Below are 18,990 nucleotides of genomic sequence, written 5' to 3'. Positions count from 1 at the left end.
TGGAATACTGAACTCCTTATACAATGTGGATGACCTTGAACACATGATGCTAAGTGAAAGAAAGCCAGACACAGGCCACGTGTTGTAAGATTCCATTTATATGAAGTGTCCAGGGCAGGAAAATCCACAGAGACAGAAAGTAGATTAATGGGTGTGGGGCTGAGGAGAGGAAGGCATTGGGAGAAACGGACTTTTTCTTTTAGGGTGATGGAAATGTGCTGTAATTAGCGGTAATGGTTCCACTCTATTGTGAACACGCTAAAGCTACTGAGTTGTACACTTTAAAATGGTTAATTTTATGTTATGTAAATTTTCTCTCAAAAATTTTAAACAAAATGCACAGGGAACGAGCGTGGGCCGGTGATGCCGGCAACCGGGTGCCTGTTGCTGCGCTGCTGTGGCGCCCCCTGCTGGCTGCCCGTGAATTCGGGGAGGGATGGGGCCTGGATGCGCCGGTGTCTCCTGCTTTCTGTTCCGGAGACTTCCCAGGAGGGTGGAGACCCCCACCCAGAGTGACTTCCCAAAAGGCAGCACTACCCGACGAGGGACGCCACAGGAGGAGGACTTGGAGGGAGGGCAGTGGGCACGGTAGAGTCTTCTTTCCTGAGGCGACCCCAGCTTGTTGGACGAGGCACAGCAAATGCTGACTATAGTAATAGAAGAGTGAGTTATGGCTTCAGGGATTTTTTTAATTATTACTTTTACTTCCAGTTTTTCTATAGTGAGTACAGATTACTTGGGGTGGTATTTTTAATAGAGAGAAATAATAGAGAACCAGGACCAACATGAGGTGTTTCTTAAATACTTCCAATGAAAATTTAAGCTCAAGTCTGCTCATTCCTTTCCCGTCTCTCCTCCTGGGTCAGGGCCAGGAATAGCCTCCTCTCCTTGCCTGCAGCCTTCCCCAGCAAAACTGGGGAAAGGGTGTTGGCAGAACATTCCAGAGGCAAGTGCACAGATTGGACCTGGCTACACTTGAGTCCACTGAGTCCAGAAACAGGACCCTAAAGTAAGTTAATAATTATGCACCATAGGGTTCCCTTTTCCCCACATCTGTGGAAATAAAATGTTGCTTAAAGTTCCAGAAAACACTTCTTAGATGGAAACTAGGACTTAGTGTGTGGTGTTTTCGTTGGTTGAGGCTGCCCCTCACTGCAAGGGTGCAGGGCCCACTGGGCAGCGCTGTGTCTGTTGCTCAGGCCCTGGCCTCTGGCACACGCCCTGCAGGCTGCCTGTTGCAGTGCACACAGGTCCTGGGGCAGGCACCATCACCTACTTCATCAGAATGTGCTGGTCGCCTCCAACTATCAACCTGGGTGTCCTTGGTGACTGACAGCCGACAGTCCTGCTCTTGGTGGAAAATAGATTTGCTCTGGCAGATGGGGGTAGACGGTGATCTTGAGCTGTTCTGTGCTGGGGATCGTGGCCAGGTAAGCCTGGAAGAATCCCCTGAGGATGCATGCTGTAGACCAAGCCTGTGGAGGATGCCACAAGGAGACAGGTCTTGGGGTTTGAAGACAGAGTTTTCTGGAAAAGATAAAACTGCCAAGGAGTTCTGAGACTAGTCAGTACACAACAGGTTTTGTTTTTCACCTTATGTGGCAGGCTTTTTAAATGTTGACATTTATGTTGTCTTTTAAAATGAAATATTGTTCTGGCATGTGTTTTGACCCAGTGGTGTAGTTCTTCTGCGGTATTTTTGTATGTGTCTACATGCTGTTTAATTATGGGGAAGGAATTTGGTCTTAACCACCCTTGGATAAGCGGGGACCGGACGAGGCCCTAATAGGCCGTGCTCATCTGGCAGCTGAAGTCTCCGACGTGGTGTGTCCTGATGCCGTCATCGAGGGACGGAGACGTGCTCTCCCTTCCGGCTTCTTCCCTCCTTCCTTCCTTCCTTTACTAATTTCTTACCATTTAAGCTGGCAGCTGCTTTGCCCGTGAGCAGGTGAGGCCATGGCGTTTGGCCTGGGCAATTCACCAGGGGACCATGGCGGCTCACAGCAGGGTGACTCGCAGCCACTCATCTCCTGAAATCAAGTGTGGCGGATGCGTGAGCTCTGAATCCCCTCTCCATGGTGACCTAAAACCGAGTCATTGATCCTGAGAGGGAAAGAAAGAAGCTGTATCTCTCACTTTAGGTAATGAAGTTGAATCGGAAGCAGTGAAGCGAGCGGTTTGAGAACAAGGAACACTGTGAGCCAGGAAACTCGGAAGATCAGGAATTGGGGTGGGAGTGGCTGTGAAGAGGACCCCACACTCTGGCGCCCGAGGGCACCATCTCCCGTCCAGGCCAGATGTATCAGATTCTGAAGAAAAAGCAGAGGGGCCGCTGAGGGGGTGTCTGTGTCCTGGTGGAGCGCCTTGAGGCAGAGGGTTCCCCGCAATTCTGAGTCCTTCTGCAGCCCTGTGCTGCCAAGGGAGGCAAAGCAGTGCTGCCATGCCTAAATTTCAGCATCTGTCTGGTGCTTCCCTTGTTGAGCGCTCGCAGGAATCAAATGCAATGTTGAGCGTGGGCCTGGTGCGTTCTCCAAATGCCCATGAGTTGTCATTACTTCTGCAGCTGCCACCATGAAGACGACTGGGCACCCCAGGCGTCTGGCCAGGCTGGTAGGGAGGTGTGGGCAGAGGGCGTGTCTCGGGACCGTGGCTACCTCCACCCCGGTGCAAGCTCTCAGGCATGCACAGCCACCTTCCTGAGTGACCGGAGCGTGAAGGCGACGCCTTCCTGTTTCTCTCCCTTCCCCAGAGTGCAGTTGGACAGGCTCCATCCGAGAGAAGGACCCTGGAAACCTTTGGAAGAGGCACCTTCAGCAGTTCCCACCCTTCCTCGCCAGAGAGTCAGGATAGTTTTAATAAATCAGGTCAAGCCCTTATGTAACAGAAGGGGTTATTTGTAAGAAAATATTTCTTAGAAAATCTTTAGTTTGAAAACTTGTAACCGTGAGAGCTTCATAGGACCAGACTTCAATTTCCCCTCTTGTTACGGATACTTCAAAATAGAAATGGAAGAAGAAAATATAATTTAATTTGACGGCTGGGTGTGGTGGTTCACATCTGTAATCCCAGCTACTCAGGAGGCTGAAGCATGAGAATTGCTGGGAGGTGGAGGCTGTAGTGAGCCGAGATTGTGCCATTGCACTCCAGCCTGGGTGACAGAGCGAGACTGTCTCCAAAAAAAAAAAAGTTTATACATATACATACACACACACACACACACACACACACACACACACAAACATAATTTGACTGAAAACAGGATATGGGGAGAGAGGGTGGTTAGACAGTTGCCTAAAAAATGTGACTCCTTGAATTGTTTACTTTGTGGAAAATACCAGATTTAACATATTGCTTGAAAAAGAAGCAGTGACAATTTTTTTCTTGTAAAAAGGTATTTTAGAAATCAAAGTTGGAATTTTAGAAATGGGGTATTCTTTAAAACAAATTTTATTTCTAAGAAAGTTTGGAATTTTTCACTAATGAAGTCCATATGCAAGGGTTCATATTTAAAGAGATGGAGAAACGGATTGTTGTCTGAAATTCAGTCACCTCGTCCCCATACCACCGCAGCTGCATGCGGGCAGTACTTCCTGCACCTCCCACTGCAGACAGGCTGAGGTTGTGTGTTCTCTCACCTGAGCTGCAGCTCACTGGAAGCAGGCGGGGTGGTTGGCACCAAACGCACCCTGGGCCCTTGGATGCTGGGGAGGGGGTTCAGGGTGCAGACCACGGCCGGCCCATCTCTTCAAGAGTTCAGGAAGAACCAGAGTCGCATGCACTTGCTGGCCCTCCTCCAAGTGGGGTGTCGGCCCGTTTCCTCCACGGAGCCACTGGCTCTTTTGCCCCCTGCCTATGAACGTGTTCATCTTTCAGCTTACACAGCCATTTGACAGTGGTAGACATTACTTAGCTCATCAACCTCCTGTCATTCAGAATTAGTTTATGAACCCATGGCATCAACCTCACCTGAGTGTCCTTGAGCTGCACCCCAGGCCCAGGGGTTCAGAACCTGCCTTTGTACAGGGTGGTCTGTGTGCCTGCTGCTGAGAGGTGCTGCACCATGAGGGGATACACTCCCTGCTGCTCAGAAATCCCCTGGGCGTTCATCTTAGGCCATGTTCCCATGGTCGTCCTCCCTACGTGGCTCAGAGCATCAGAGACGCTGGGGGAGGAAGAGAGGACAGGCCTGGGTACATCTCATGGCCCCAGCTCCACCCTCTGCAGCGCCTCCTCCCAGGACCCCAAGTCTGTCTGGAAACATGGTGGAGCGTTGCTGCTGCCTTGCCTGTCATGGGGGTTACACAAAAGACCTTCCCTGTCCAGGCCATTCCGGGGCCCTGAATCCCTGAGCCTGTGTCCCTGTCCCCAGGAGTACCTGCTCCAAGCTTGCTGCCCTGAGTGAGCTGCTGCATGAAGAGCCGTGCCCTGTCCTCAGCACTGCCCATGTGTTATCCTGCACACACATCCACACGCAACACTGCCCATGTGTTATCCTGCACACGGGTCCACACACAACACTGCCCATGTGTTATCCTGCAACACGTCCACACGCAACACTGCCCATGTGTTATCCGGCACACAGGTCCACACACAACACTGCCCACGTGTTATCCTGCACACACGTCCACACGCAACATGATGCTCTCAGGCAGGAACCACAACAGAGGACCCACAGCAGGGATGTGACCTGTGAGGCCCAATGGGTGTCACTTGTAATTGTGAACTGTCACTGTTTTGATTGGCCATTGTCTTGCCCTGAAAAGTGGTAATTATTCCATACGGTGACACACGGAGCCCTGCACCTTTAGATGCGCTGAAACTCCCTTGGAGCACAGGGCCAAGGCCAGAGGGGTCAGCATGGGATGTTAGGGTCTGGCCAGCACGACTGAGATCAAAGGGGGCTCTGGTTTGTTGGATCCTCAAGTGTTTGCAGTTGTGGGGCCCCAAAAGAGGTGGCTGTGGTGTGGAGAAGGGGCCCTGAAGGGACTTCTGTGAGAACAGCCCCCTTATGGTCGGGGGAGGACCAGACCTTCCTGGTCTGCAGGGAGGGCTATGCACTCCCCTGAAGTTCCCCGGGAAGGTGGACATGGGGAGTGAGGACCCTGTGGACTGTCTCGTGCTCTGAGGATGTAAGGAGCCAGGACAGGATGAAAGGGGCACGTACCTCCCCTGCTTGTCTGACGCTCTCTACAGAGGACATTTACCAGAAACTTGAAAATGCTGCTGTAAAAAAGCTGCCACGGAGCTGTTGTGTTTGGGGCAACTAGATCTGACCATGGAGGAGGCTGTAACTGATCGCTTTCAATGAACTTGACGCCTTTAAATTCTAAGGGAGGTGGAGATTTTCCACTGAGACAAGGCGTCCTGATGCCCCCATGACCGAGGGTCACACCAGCAGTGTCTGCCATGGCACACGTGCCCCAGACTGTGTCGCCTGCTTAGCAGAATGCAGTGGGGCTGCTGAGAGAGACACTTGCAGCCCTGCATCTGGGCCTTTGTTCTGCTTGGGGTGCGGCAGAGAGGAGGAACACACTCATGATTGGGGTGGTGTGCTGTGTTGGTGCCGACCTGACCATACGGTGTCCATGAGCTGAGGCTGTGTGCCGCTGACATGACTGCCTTCATCTCAGAAGGAAAAATACAAGGGAACAGTCACATTTGTTTACAGGTCCAAATGGTGACAAAGTGGTAGCTATGTTAGGAAATAAGCGGAAATGATAATTTTTTTTTTTGAGATGGAGTTTTGCTCTTCTTGCCCAGGCTGGAGTGCAATGGCACGATCTCAGCTCACTGCAGCCTCCGCTGTCTGGAAGCGATTCTGCTGCCTCAGTCTCCCTACTAGCTGGGATTACAGGTGGATGCCACAACGCCCAGCTAATTTTTGTATTTTTAATAGAGACAGGGTTTCACCATGTTGGTCAGGCTGGTTTTGAACTCCTGACCTCAGGTGATCCACCCACCTTGGCCTTCCAAAGTGCTGGGATTACAGGTGTGAGCCAGCGCACCCAGTGGAAATGATAAATTATGTTTTCTGGCAACTTCCTGGAGGTTAACAGTTCAACACCATGTTTTTTCAAAACAAACCTTTACTAAAATTTTAGAGGCAAAGACATATCCATTGCGGGAAGTCAGGGACCCTGAATGGAGGGACTGGCTGGAGCCACAGCAGAGGAACATAAATTGTGAAGATTTCATGGACATTTATCAGTTCCCAAATAATACTTTTATAATTTCTTATGCCTGTCTTTAATCTCTTAATCCTGTTATCTTCGTAAGCTGAGGATATACGTCACCTCAGGACCACTGTGATAATTTTGTTAACTGTACAAATTGTAAAACATGTGTTTGAACAATATGAAATCAGTGCACCTTGAAAAAGAACAGAATAACAGTGATTTTTAGGGAACAAGGGAAGACAACCATAAGGTCTGTCTGCAGGGTCAGGCAAAAAGAGCCATATTTTTCTTCTTGCAGAGAGCCTATAAATGGACATGGAAGTAGGAGAGAGATCACTAAATTCTTTTCTTAGCAAGGAATATTAATATTAATACCCTGGGAAAGGAATGCATTCCTAGGGGAGGTCTATAAATGGCCACTCTGGGAATGTCTGTCTTATGTGATTGAGATAAGGACTGAGATACGCCCTGGTCTCCTGCAGAACCTTCAGGCTTACTAGGGTGGGGAGAAACTCTGCCCTGGTAAATTTGTGGTCAGACCGGTTCTCTGCTCTCGAACCCTGTTTTCTGTTGTTGAAGATGTTTATCAAGACAATATGTGCACTGCTGAACATAGACCCTTATCAGTGGTTCTGCTTTTGCCCTTTGCCTTGTGTTTGTTGGATGCTTATCAGTGGTTCCGCTTTTTCCTTTTGTCCTGTTCCCTCAGAAGCATGTGATCTTTGTTAGACCGTTATTAGTACGTCTGCTTTTTGCCTTTTGAAGCATGTGATCTTTGTACCCACTCCCTGTTTTACACCCCCTCCCGTTTTGACACCCTTAATAAAAAACCTGCTGGTTTGAGGCTCAGGTGGGCATCACGGACCTACCGATAGGTGATGTCATCCCTGGTGGCCCAGCTGTAAAATTCCTCTCTTTGTACTCTTTCTCTTGCTCAGCTGGCTGACATTTATGGAAAATAGAACCTACGTTGAAATATTGGGGGCAGGTTCCCCCATTACATATCTTCAAAAGGTTTAATTTGAGGTTGGCTAGGATTATATTTTACATTATTGTTAGGTGGGTAAACAAGGCTCCCCTCTGCTCAAGTCCTTGAAGGCCCAGGACCCCCCAGTTTCATCCTCTTACTATGGGCATGACATTCAGTTGTGACGTGAAGAGCAGTGTGGACCCGGTGGAAACACCCAACCATGAAAGTTAAAAGCTGGAGCCTTTTAGACACATGGAGAGCACATCACAGAGGCAACGCCCCTCACAGGTTGGAGGGTTTGGAGTGCAGGGGAGGGATTTGCAGTAGTTGGGACTTGGCCAGGAGGAGGGGCTGTTAGGATGGCCCCTAAGTGTTTTGAGGGAGGAGAGGCCCACTCAAGACTGTGGGGCCCATGGACAAAATACAAAGGCCAGGTCCTCACTCCCTGCTTAGTCTCTCTGGCACCAGAGCCAGGGGCTGTTGGGCACCCATTCTAGCCTTGAGGAGGTGAGGGTCCAGGCTCTGTGTGTGGGGTGCAGCAGGTGGGGTAGTTATTGTCCACACGTGTTCCGTCCTTTTAGGCTGCCTCTTTCTGATCTTTGTACAGACAGAGCAGACTTTTGATGGGGCTTTTTGGTCTATGCCTGTTGGTGCATCCAGGTTGCTGGTGCCTTCAGCTCCAAGTCTGGGATGACAAGGCTAAAAGAAAACCCAAGGAGCTGCTGCCATGTTGCTTCTCCGGTCCTGAGGCCCCAGCTAGTGCGACTTCTCTCCTGCGTCATCTTATATTTGTTGTTTTGTATGTAACATCCAGGGTTTTTGTTGAACTTAGGAGGGATGGGAAGAACTACATGACTTCTGGGAAGCAGAGGTCCACACACTTGCTTTTATTGGTGCAGGGAACCCTGGTCTACCTAAGTGATTTATAAGCCCCTTACGAGGAGGGGCCCGGCCCGCTGTGCCCTTCTCTGTATCCTACAGTTCTGGGCTTGAGCCTCAATCCAGTCCACCGTGCACCACGGCCAGAGCACTTGCTGCCCTGTGGGGATGGCCGAGATGCTTCCACCTGGCCCTTGTGACGCAGACAGGTTTGTGGTTTTGGTGGAAGGGAATGCACCATGCGGAACAGGGGTGGGGCTCCCGGGATGGGTGGCTGTGAACTGGGACTTGAAGACAAGCGGCTCTCAGAGGGAGGTGAAATTGAACCTCAAACTCTGTGAGTCAGTGGTAGAGAGAAAGAGGATGCTTGGAACAGTAGGTGTCACCTCTCCCGGGCCAAGCCTCACTGTACTCTGCCCGTGTGTGGGACAGGCGGCCAGGCTGTTTCACACATGGACACACACCATTTCTTACTCCCCTACCCTCAGCATCTCAGGCCTCACCTGCCCTGCATAAAACCTTAGTCTCTTCTCCTGGGCCCTGCTGCTCGTGGCTCTGAGCACAGGGCCTGAGCATAGGGCCTGTCCTCAAGGAGGAGCATGTGGATGGCCACCTGCACCACAATGTTCTTGCAGGCATGAGTTTGCCAGAGGGGTTGCCTTCTTGAAAGTGCATAGATTTGTCATCCAAGGAGACCCCTTGGGAAGAGCCCGTATCATGGAAAGCAGGCAGAGCACTGTGCCTCGGACACTGCCACACTTCCATCTGCGGCCCCATGGATCCACAGTCCCTCCCACTTAGAATGAGCAATCATGAGGCAGATGCCTTCAGTGAGGTTTAGCTTTTAGTCCAGGGAGAGCCCACTCTGTCCCAGGCCCTTGGTTAGTCCAAACCTGCGGCAGCAGCCAGACCAGATGGACTCTACAGGTAGTCTCTCCTCATCACGGGAAGAGGAGCTCTGTGCCACTCACCCTCCGGCGTCTTCTCTTGAACTTTGTGTTGTTGATCCCCACACCCCGGGCAGCATAACTGCCACCTCCCCAGATGCCCCCGCACTGTTCCTATCATATCCTGTGCACATCCAGTCTCACGGTGTTCTCCATGTAGCTGTATGTAAAATTCAGTCTGTATCTCTCCCACTCGCTTCATGGCTACTTCAGGGCAGGGACTTTATCCACTCACCTGTATCCCTGAAGTCACTGAGTAAGGATTTGCAGTGTCTATGAGGTGCAGAGAGGCCGGGTGCTGGCCAGGAACCAAGATCCCATTTCTATAAAACAAGCACAACCATAGCCACATGTACGTGTGAGTGTGCAAGAAAGGACTTGACAGACATGCACACCCAGCCCCGGTGGTCACAGCTGGGAAGAAGTATTACAAGTGTCATTTTATTTTTTTATTTTTGTGGGTACATATTAGGTATATATATTTATGGGTTACATGAGATTTTGATACAGGCATACAATGCATAATAATCACGTCAGGGTAAACAGGGTTTACAGGTATAGTTTTTAAAAGTCATCTTATTTCAAAAGTCCTTCCAGACCTTACTGTGTCAGTGGGTAATAAATTATGCTGATAACTGATGACGGATGGGTTCCGTCACTGAGCAGCATGTGTTGAGTGCTGGCCAGGATGCCAGCTCCCAGGAAGACAGTCCTCATGCTGGGGCATCCCGGCTCCAGGGTGCATTAACCCTGCTGCCTGGAGCATGTGCCAGAGCCTGTGCTAGGGCCTTCTCGTTGTCTAGGCAGCCATGGGCTCTGCTGGGTTGAGAGATGTGATGCCTGAGCATTGGCCTCCTCTCCAAGCTGCCTGAATGTTGCCTCCATGGTGGAAGTAATTTGTCTTCGAGTCCTTTCCAGAACTGTCAACCAGCATTCCCCATCTCCAAAGCAAGTCATAATGGGCCCTGCCTGCTCACTGAAATGCAGAAGCCAGACTGACCCCTGGAGCCTGGAGGTCTCTGCTCTGAGGAGCGCCTGTTTATGGCATTGCTTCTGCCTGGGCTCCCGGTCCTACTGGCTTTCACTGGCAAAGCAAAGATGTGAGCCTCCCCAGCCCAAAGAGCAGGCTGCTGTGGATGCCACCAACTCCACAGGACCAAGCCTCACAGAGCAAGCCCTTCCCTCTGCTCCCCGAGACGCCTGTCTTACAGAGTCGTGTGTGTCAAGAACAAGAGGTTTCATATAAAAATTAATGAAACAAGATTTTTTTTCTGACATGAGGAAAATGCATTATTCAGAGTTTCCAAATGCCACCAGTCTCTTCACTTAAAATTTTTACTTTAGACTAAGCTCCTTACGTTTCTGCTTGATTAATTCAGTGGACTTTCATTTTATTTTGCAGTAGCCCAACTTTAGGGTAAAGTTTACACACTGCCACAAATGTGTCATGCCACAGGCTGGCAGGTGTGGGCAGGCGGATCCCACAGGGTCCCTGGGAGACCTGAGGAAGAGAGCTGCACAGCCCCCATGGGAGGCTGGGCATATTGGTGAGCCTTGAGGCTCCATGTGCCTACAAATAGCACTGACTGTGCGGGACCTCACAGAAGGGAAGCAGCCATCCTCTGATCCCACTCCTTCCTCTACTCATCTCCCCTCATCAGCTGCTAACCAAAAACGCAGGGAAATGCTCACACGCCCGACTGAGTGACACATTCAGGGGCCTTGAATGCTGGCTAGAAGACACTGTGGTGGGGCTTGCGCATAGAAAAGAAGAAAGCAGGAAAGGTCTCTCTTAGTTGTAATTAACCTTAGAAAAAAACGAGCCTCCGTCTTACAGTTGAGAGAAGGAAATATGGGAGAATGGGCAAAGCTTAAGAAGTCCCCAGTCCAGCCTGCTGCCTCCCAGAAGGCTGAGGCACTCGCCAGCCCTCCAAGCCCTAAACCCTCCACTGCCATTGATTCTCTCTGCTGCAGCTGCCTGCTAGCACCTTTTAATCTCTGAGTTCTTTGGTTTGGTGCCTGTGGAGCTGTAAGGAGAGTGCTAGAGAGTTAATTTTAGGGGCTGCACTTGAGCTTGCCTGATTTCAGCTCAGCCTGCAGGTCTGGAATGCTCCTGTGCACCCTGGGTGCTTCGGCGTCACGCAGATGGAACAGCAGTGCCAGGTGTATGACGGCCGAGGGCTCAGGCGGGGCTCGGTTGTGTGTCCCCTCTAACTGTCCCCTCTCCCGCAGAGGAGGCCGAGCGTGGCAGCCTCGGCGCGGGCTCGCTGTGCAGGCGGAGGCGGGCGCTGGGCGCGCTGCGTGATGAAGGACCCCGGCGGCGTGCACACCTGGACATCGGCCTCCCGCGCGACTTCCGCCCCGTATCATCCATCATCGATGTGGACCTGGTCCCCGAGACGCACCGGCGAGTGCGGCTGCACCGGCACGGCTGCGAGAAGCCGCTGGGCTTCTACATCCGCGATGGCGCCAGCGTGCGCGTGACCCCGCACGGGCTGGAGAAGGTGCCCGGCATCTTCATCTCGCGCATGGTACCCGGGGGCCTGGCGGAGAGCACCGGGCTGCTGGCTGTGAATGACGAGGTCCTGGAGGTGAACGGCATTGAGGTGGCCGGGAAGACGCTGGACCAGGTCACGGACATGATGATCGCCAACAGCCACAACCTCATCGTCACCGTCAAGCCCGCCAACCAGCGCAACAACGTGGTGCGCGGCGGCCGCGCGTTGGGCAGCTCGGGACCGCCCTCGGACGGCACCGCGGGCTTCGTGGGTCCCCCCGCCCCGCGCGTCCTGCAGAACTTCCACCCCGACGAGGCGGAGAGCGATGAGGACAACGACGTCGTCATCGAGGGCACACTGGAGCCTGCACGTCCCCCCCAGACCCCGGGCGCGCCCGCAGGCAGCCTCTCCCGGGTCAATGGCGCGGGCCTGGCGCAGCGGCTGCAGCGGGACCTGGCCCTGGACGGCGGCCTCCAGCGGCTGCTCAGCTCCCTGCGGGCCGACCCCCGTCACAGCCTGGCGCTGCCGCCAGGCGGCGTGGAGGAGCACGGGCCCGCGGTCACGCTCTAGACTCCCGAGAGGCCCCCAAATCCTAGCTCCAGTTCCCCGGTAAGGACAGGGACAGGACCTGCAGACTGCATCCGCTCATTTTTTGTTGTTTTTGTGACCACAAAAACAACGCTGCTCTTTGTTTCAACTTCCGGATATAAAAACACAAGTATTGCCTATTTTTATAGAATTTCGCCACAGAACTTAAAATGAACGCCTGTAGAGACACTCTATACCAGGCCTGAGTGCAGGTCTTGGCGCCTTTGCAAAGTGATAGAAAAGATCTGACCAAGTGCAAAAAAATGCTTTTTAAAATTTTTACAAATACTTTGTTTTTAAAGTGAAGCTTTAAAATTACTTTTTTAAAATAGTCAAATTCATGTTTTTAAGTAAGTTGGCCCATGCAACATATCTCAGCATTCTTGCTGTGCTCTCTGCTGACTTGCAGGCGAGGCCGACTGTGCTGATGTACGTGACAAGAGGCTGGTTTTTAATAACGAATGCAGCCAGGTGCAGTGGCTCACGTCTGTAATCCCAGCACTTTGGGAGGCCTACGTGGGCTGATCACGAGGTCAGGAGGTCGAGACCAGCATGGCCAACATGGTGAAACCCTGTCTCTACTAAAAATATAAAAATTAGCCAGGTGTGGTGGCAGGCGCCTGTAATCCCAGCTACCTTGGGAGGCTGAGGCAGGAGAATCGCTTGAACCCGGGAGGCAGAGGTTGCAGTGAGCTGAGATCGCACCACTGCACTCCAGCCTGGGTGACAGAGCAAGACTCTGTCTCGGGAAAAAAAAAAAATACACCCAAACCTGTCCATGTACAACCATGGAGATGAATTCCAGATTTTCACACTGTTCATAGTCATAATTCGGTTGGGACAGGAGAGCTCCCACCAGCACACTTATGGCACCCGCAGCTGTGGAATTGTTCCGGGGCTTTTTTTTGTTTGTTTTGAGACATAGTGTCTTGTTCTGTCATCCAAGCTGGAGGGATCTCAGCTCACTGCAACCTCCGCCTCCTGGGTTCAAGCAATTCTCCTGCCTCAGCCTCCCAAGGAGCTGGGACAGGCACATGCCACCATACCCAGCTAATTTTTGTATTTTTAGTAGAGATGGGATTTCACCACGTTGGTCAGGCTGGTCTTGAACTCCTGACCTCAGGTGATACGGTCCCCCCTCAGCCTCCAAAAATGCTAGGATTATAGACGTGAGCCACAGCACCAGACCAGGGGCTATTTTTGTGACCCACATAGGTGGCCCATTCAGCCTCAAGGGGAAATCCAGGGTAGGAAGCAGCAGCTCTGCTGGACTGGGCTCAGCAGTCCCATTTGGGATGTAAGCCTCTATTGCCTCTAAGATGACCCTTTTCCTGTGGGTTGACTGACTCTGAGGGCGATTTCGGAAATGTTTTCAGCAGAAATGAAGGATAAGCATCGCACATGTCCAGCAATGTCTTTGAGAATGCAGTCATTTGCACGTGAGTTCTCATCTTTGTTTTCTGAAACAGACGTTTCTTTTAGTAAGTCACAATACATGCTAATTTTCATTTCTAGAATGGTCACTGGCAGTTCTCACTTTTAACTATAAGAAGTCACGTGGAACTTAGTGATTTTTAACAAATACTAAATTCATCCTCACTTTATGTTGATCTTCCAGCAACGTTTATATATTTAGTAATTTTAAAAATTCCTATTTGATACAATTAAATTTTATATAATGTGTTTTGCTTGAATAAAATGTTACATTTATACTTTGAGAACTCTGACCAAATCTTTCATACAGATACAGGTAAAGAAATATTTTTCTAGGTTGTCGGAGCTGCGTACCTCCCGCTGCTTCTCCTTGTGGTCCAGCACCACCTGCTGGTCAGTGGCAGAACTGTCCTGACTTCGTGAACATGGAACTGCTAAGAGGGAAAACTGCATCTCAGCATTTTCATTTTTTCTGAATATTAAGTGAAAAGCAAGTTCTATTTTTAAGAAATAGCTTTTGCTGAGGAGTTGTGAATTCCTGCACCTGTGTTTGATGTTATTTGTATGCAATGGATTGCTGGCCCTTTGTTCCTAAGCAAGAGAAGACCAAAGATGCTTCCCCATGACCTCTCCGGTGAGGATCCGCACCCCCCGGACTTGCTCTCTGATGAAGGGCATGTCGTTCAGTGCCCCAGCAGTCAGAAGCAGTTTTTGTGGAACTAAAACTAATAATGTTACCCTCACAAAGGAAATGTTCTTTTACTAAGTTATTGCTGATTCTTGAATGTCTGTTATATAACTGGGTCGGCTATCAAGAAGGAAGGTTATATTTCTTATCACATTTTAAGTTGTTAAGCAAATGTGAGTTTTTTTTTAAGAAATGAGGCTTTCACTGAGATTTGTGTGCTATTCATAATTTTAGGAATTACTGCTTAGAACAGCTGCTTGGGTGTATTTTTCTACACAGGTCTGTACTTCTGCCACTTTCTCCTTTTAAAAAAACAAAACTATGCATATTATGTATTAAAGTTTTCTTGGTTTTATATATCAGAGAATAAAAACTTTTTTGACTTTTGAGTAAACAAAATGCATGAATATTTCACCTGTGTTCTAAGTGGAAGAGAATACCAGAGATAAAGTAATCCCTCAAAGAGAATGACAGATTTATCAAGTGCTTATCATGTACCATCTTTCACGGAATCCGCACATACTCTCTGAGGGACGCAGATGAGAAAATGGGCCCAAGCTCATCAGATAGACAGATGACAGTCCAGAACCCTCTCTCGAAGTCTTTTTGAAAAAGCTTTTCTGAATATTTATACAGCACACAGTCCTTCCTAAATGTGCCCTGGTTGGCACGGTTTTCATTAACACTGTCGTTCTGGCAGCCATCAAGAGTCAAATTACAATTACAAATTCAGTTACTCAGCAAATTACAGATGTGATCACATTGAGCACCAGCATCCTGGAAGCAGCACAGGTACCCTACTAGGAGCTTCACAAGTACTCGCCACCTGCTGAGTCCCCACAGCAACTCTGGACTGTCGGCAGCTGGACAGTTGACCCCCACAGTCTGATGAGGCAGGAGTCAAGTGCCAACACTGGGTACACTCTCCAAAACTAATGTCCGCTTTCAGCAGGATGAGATACGAGGCTTAAGTGTAAGCAGAGGCCACATGTGCCCCTGGCTGCCAGCCGGGTGTGGCCTCAGGCTTGGGTTTCCCTGACCTGATAGTCCACATCATATGGCAAATTTATTCACAATTTGGTGAGGGTATTTAATATTTTATGGTTTCACATAAAATGATCACAGCGAGTGAGAGTTTTGTGGCAAGGTGCAAAAGTATCTAAAAAATGCCATGATTGTTGTGAAATCTATATTAGCGAAAATCTAAATTTTCCAACAGAAGGACATGTAAGTTACCTGCACCTCTGTGGAATGTTTTTAAAGGATGCAAGTATGAACTAAGTGTGGTAGGGTCAACTTTTGATCCTTGCATTTTAAAAGTTGGCACTAGTATGAAGTTTTTTATGGCAGCACTAAAACTCACACGGTCTGAATAGTTTATTAAAATGGTGTAAGGCTGCACTAATGGCCAGTTCCCAAATGCACTAAGATACTTAATGTGTACCATTCCTACTGAAAGTATGAACCTACTTAGCTGATTTCCAGCTTGCCCATTTCTGGAAAGGTAAGCTGCTCAGCGTGAGCTCAAGGACCTCCTGTTTCAAACAAACCGGAGGGTGAACCCTCGTCCCCTCGAACAGCTTGTTTAAAGAGCACCTGCTGGTCAGGCACAGTGGTGCATACCTGTATTCCCAGCACTTTGGGAGGCCAAGGCGGGCAGATTGCCTGAAGTCAGGAGTTCGAGACCAGCCTGGCCAAGATGGCGAAACGCCAGCTCTACTAAAAATACAAAAAAATAGCTGGGCATGGTGGCGTGCACCTGTAATCCCAGCTACTCTGGAGGCTGGGGCAGGTGAATCGCTTGAACCCGGGAGGCTGAAGTTGCAGTTAGCCAAGATCACACCACTGCACTCCAGCCTGGGCAGCAGAGCAAACTCCATCTCAAAAAAACAAAACAAATAAAAGAGTGCCTGGATTACCCCAGAGGCTCTGATTTAAGGAACTTGGGTGGAGTTTGAGAATTTTCATTTCTAACAAGTTCCCAGTAGATGCTGATGCTGCTGGTGCAGGAATCACATTTGAGAACCATTGGCTAATCCCCCAAGCTTATAGGACTTGCCTATAAACTTGGACTTGATGACCGAGACCCTATCCAACAAGCACATAGGATTTCCCTCTAGGATGTTATGTGCTGGTATCAATATTGTAATTTCACATCAGGTAACCTGCAAAAGTATTTCCTAAGTGCACAAATACTATTTTTTGAATTATCTCCCACCACCACCATTCTGGCGCCACATCTATACACCTAGTCTTCTTAACGTTCTCCTTTATGCTTTGAACATCTCCTATTTATTCCTGAAGACACTCCAAATCAATATACAAATTCTTTTTTCCCTCTTACCTTTCCTCATTTATCTTGTGTTTTATTCTCCTTTATCCTCATGGGGAAAAAAAAAACAACTTGAGGGTATTGAGAATGTTTTCAATACTGAGCCATGTTCCCAAGGAGAGACATAACTCTATAACAGTAATAAAAAGCAAACATGATTCATCATTGATCTTGCAACCCAGAAAATGAGTGCCATTTTCCAAATTTGCTTTCCCAGGGAGCTTTGAAGATAAACACATTATTTCTTGACTTGAGTCCCCTTGCTCTCAAGACAAAGTGCCAGGCAAGAGCTCTTTTACAAGAATTGTACTTCCAGTAGACTGTCAGGTGAGCTATTAAGCAACATGGCCGTGATGACAGAAAAGTCTGTCTTACCACTTCAGAGCCAAATTACACACCCTATATGAAACCCATCTGAGGCCAGACTGCAGAGACCTAAACGTATAGATGAGAGGATCAGAGTATGGAACCTCCTTTCTCATAATAAGACTGCAGCATAAGAAGGGCACAGTGCCATGTGATGGGACTGCAGAATGCCAGATGTATGACAGGATCAGAATCCAAAATTGACTTCCACAAAGCCAGACCACAGGGAGCACCACACACGAATGAGGATAATATCCAAAATCAACTTCGAATTAATTAGACTCCAAAGACCAGCACACACTGATGAGAGAATCAGAGATGGAAAACCACCTCCACAGAACTGGGCCACAGAGATTACCAGTCATAAAAAGAGAACTGCACAGAACCAGACCGCAGAAGGCACCACATACATGGATGACAGGATCTGAGCCCCAAATCTACTTTCAGTAACTGGGCTGCAGATCCAGAACCAGGCCACAGAGGGCACCACACCAACTAATAAGAGTACCTGAGTCCCAAATCTACTTCTGTGTAATGGGTGGTAACAGGCAACAGGCGAAACACTGAAACCCCGACTTCATGCCCTCTGCTTGCCACGACGGTTTTGCATTTGTTTCCCATGCCAGCATAAGCTCTTTATTCAGAGGCTGTCATATTCTCTCTGATGTTCAGTTACTAACGATTACTAACGATCCTACTTAGTGTGGATGAGTAAACCAATGTTTCCTTGGAGTTTATGCTTCAGAAACAGGCAACAAACAAAAGATAACACATAATTCATTTATCAATAAATGACAAGAAAAACAGAGCCAGAAGGAGGATATTGTAAATTTTTACCATTTACCATTACTTTTCAGATGAGAAAATGAAGGCACACTAATATTTCTAATATCACACAAATACTTTTCAGAGCCATAATTTGCACCTGTATGTTCTGGCTTAACTGTTTTTCTCACCCCATCTATCAGTTTGTAGAAATGCAGGCTGGGTGCAGTGGTTCATGCCTGTAATCTTATCACTTTGGGAGGCCAAGGTGGATCTCTTGAGCTCAGGGGTTCAAGACCAGCCTGGGCAACACAGATCTTGTCTCTACAAAAAAATGTTTTTATAATTAGCCAAGTACATTCTCTTTGCCTAAAATAAAAAAAGTAGTCCCAGCTACTCAGGTGGCTGAGGTGGGAAGATCGCTTGATCCTAGGAGGTCAAGGCTGCAGTGAGTTATGACTGCACCACTGCACTCCAGCCTGGGTGACAGAGTGAGACCCTGTCTCAAAAAAATAAATAAATAAAAATGCAATGTTTATCCACACAGTCTGGCTAAGGAAAGACACCATCTACCACCTTTGGTTTATTCGGGAATGCATCTTCACTGTCTATTCTAGCCAGCAATAGGCAGACTCTGCCATCCAGTGTAAGTGACTTCATTCCTCGGTCAAACATTGGAATTAGGCCAGGCGCAGTGGCTTATGCCTGTAATCCCAGCACTTTGGGAGGCTGAGGCAGCTGGATCACCTGAGGTTGAGAGTTCGAGACCAGCCTGACCAACATGGAGAAACCCCGTCTCTACTAAAAATACAAAACTAGCCGGGCGTGGTGGCACATGCCTGTAATCCCAGCACTTTGGGAGGCCGAGGCGGGCGGATCACAAGGTCTGGAGATGGAGACCATCCTGGCTAACACAGTGAAACCCCGTCTCTACTAAAAATACAAAAAAAATTAGCTGGGCATGGTGGTGTGCGCCTGTAGTCCCAGCTACTCGGGAGGCTGAGGCAGGAGAATGGCATGAACCTGGGAGGTGGAGCTTGCAGTGAGCTGAGATCGCACCACTGCACTCCAGCCTGGGCAACAGAGCGACACTCCGTCTCAAAAAAACAAACAAAAATTTGGAATTAAAAGTCTGCTTATATGTAAAGGGTCACTCAAGTTACTGTTGAAAATATGGAAGGGAATATTCCCTGCTCAGCACCACTGACCCATAGAAAGACAATCAGTGAGAAACGGGCAATCCTTTCTCTGAGCATCCTGTTTCTTCACTTTCTTGGAATCATGATTTTTGTATTTGAAAGTATTTTGGACAAAGAATGTCTTAGGTGAATGCTACTACAATAGTAA

The 18,990-nt window shown here is 49.0% G+C and overlaps 1 protein-coding gene and 1 long non-coding RNA gene across 3 annotated transcripts in view, besides 1 other annotated feature; one reads left to right on the top strand and one right to left on the bottom strand.

The window, feature by feature from the left end:
* PARD6G (par-6 family cell polarity regulator gamma) overlaps window positions 1–14,579 on the top strand; it is a 90,283-nt gene extending 75,704 nt beyond the window's left edge. Inside the window, exon 3 of the mRNA NM_032510.4 lies at window positions 11,205–14,579. Within this exon, the coding sequence (NP_115899.1) occupies window positions 11,205–12,040 (836 nt within the window). The 3' untranslated portion in view covers window positions 12,041–14,579. The remainder of the gene's footprint in view (window positions 1–11,204) is intronic.
* PARD6G-AS1 (PARD6G antisense RNA 1) overlaps window positions 1–18,990 on the bottom strand; it is a 30,509-nt gene that overhangs the window by 6,622 nt on the left and 4,897 nt on the right. Inside the window, exons 2-3 of one of the 2 annotated variants that reach the window (NR_028339.1) lie at window positions 9,208–9,295; window positions 78–2,992 (exon numbers count right to left, since the gene is read on the bottom strand). The exons of the other annotated variant lie outside the window; for it this stretch is intronic. This is a non-coding gene — a long non-coding RNA (PARD6G antisense RNA 1). Of the gene's footprint in view, window positions 1–77; window positions 2,993–9,207; window positions 9,296–18,990 lie in introns of those variants that run through there. 2 annotated transcript variants of the gene reach the window in all.
* Window positions 11,992–12,061: a silencer, noted in NCBI's record as "silent region_9594". NCBI's record gives its function as "represses an Ori minimal core promoter by ATAC-STARR-seq in GM12878 lymphoblastoid cells {active_cell/tissue: GM12878}" and the evidence as "EXISTENCE:reporter gene assay evidence [ECO:0000049][PMID:35858748]".

The sequence above is a fragment of the Homo sapiens genome, chromosome 18 (genome assembly GCF_000001405.40).
Source record: "Homo sapiens chromosome 18, GRCh38.p14 Primary Assembly".
Lineage (NCBI taxonomy): Eukaryota > Metazoa > Chordata > Mammalia > Primates > Hominidae > Homo > Homo sapiens.
Note: the sequence above shows the minus strand (reverse complement) of the source record. Positions and strands in the feature narration are given on the sequence as shown.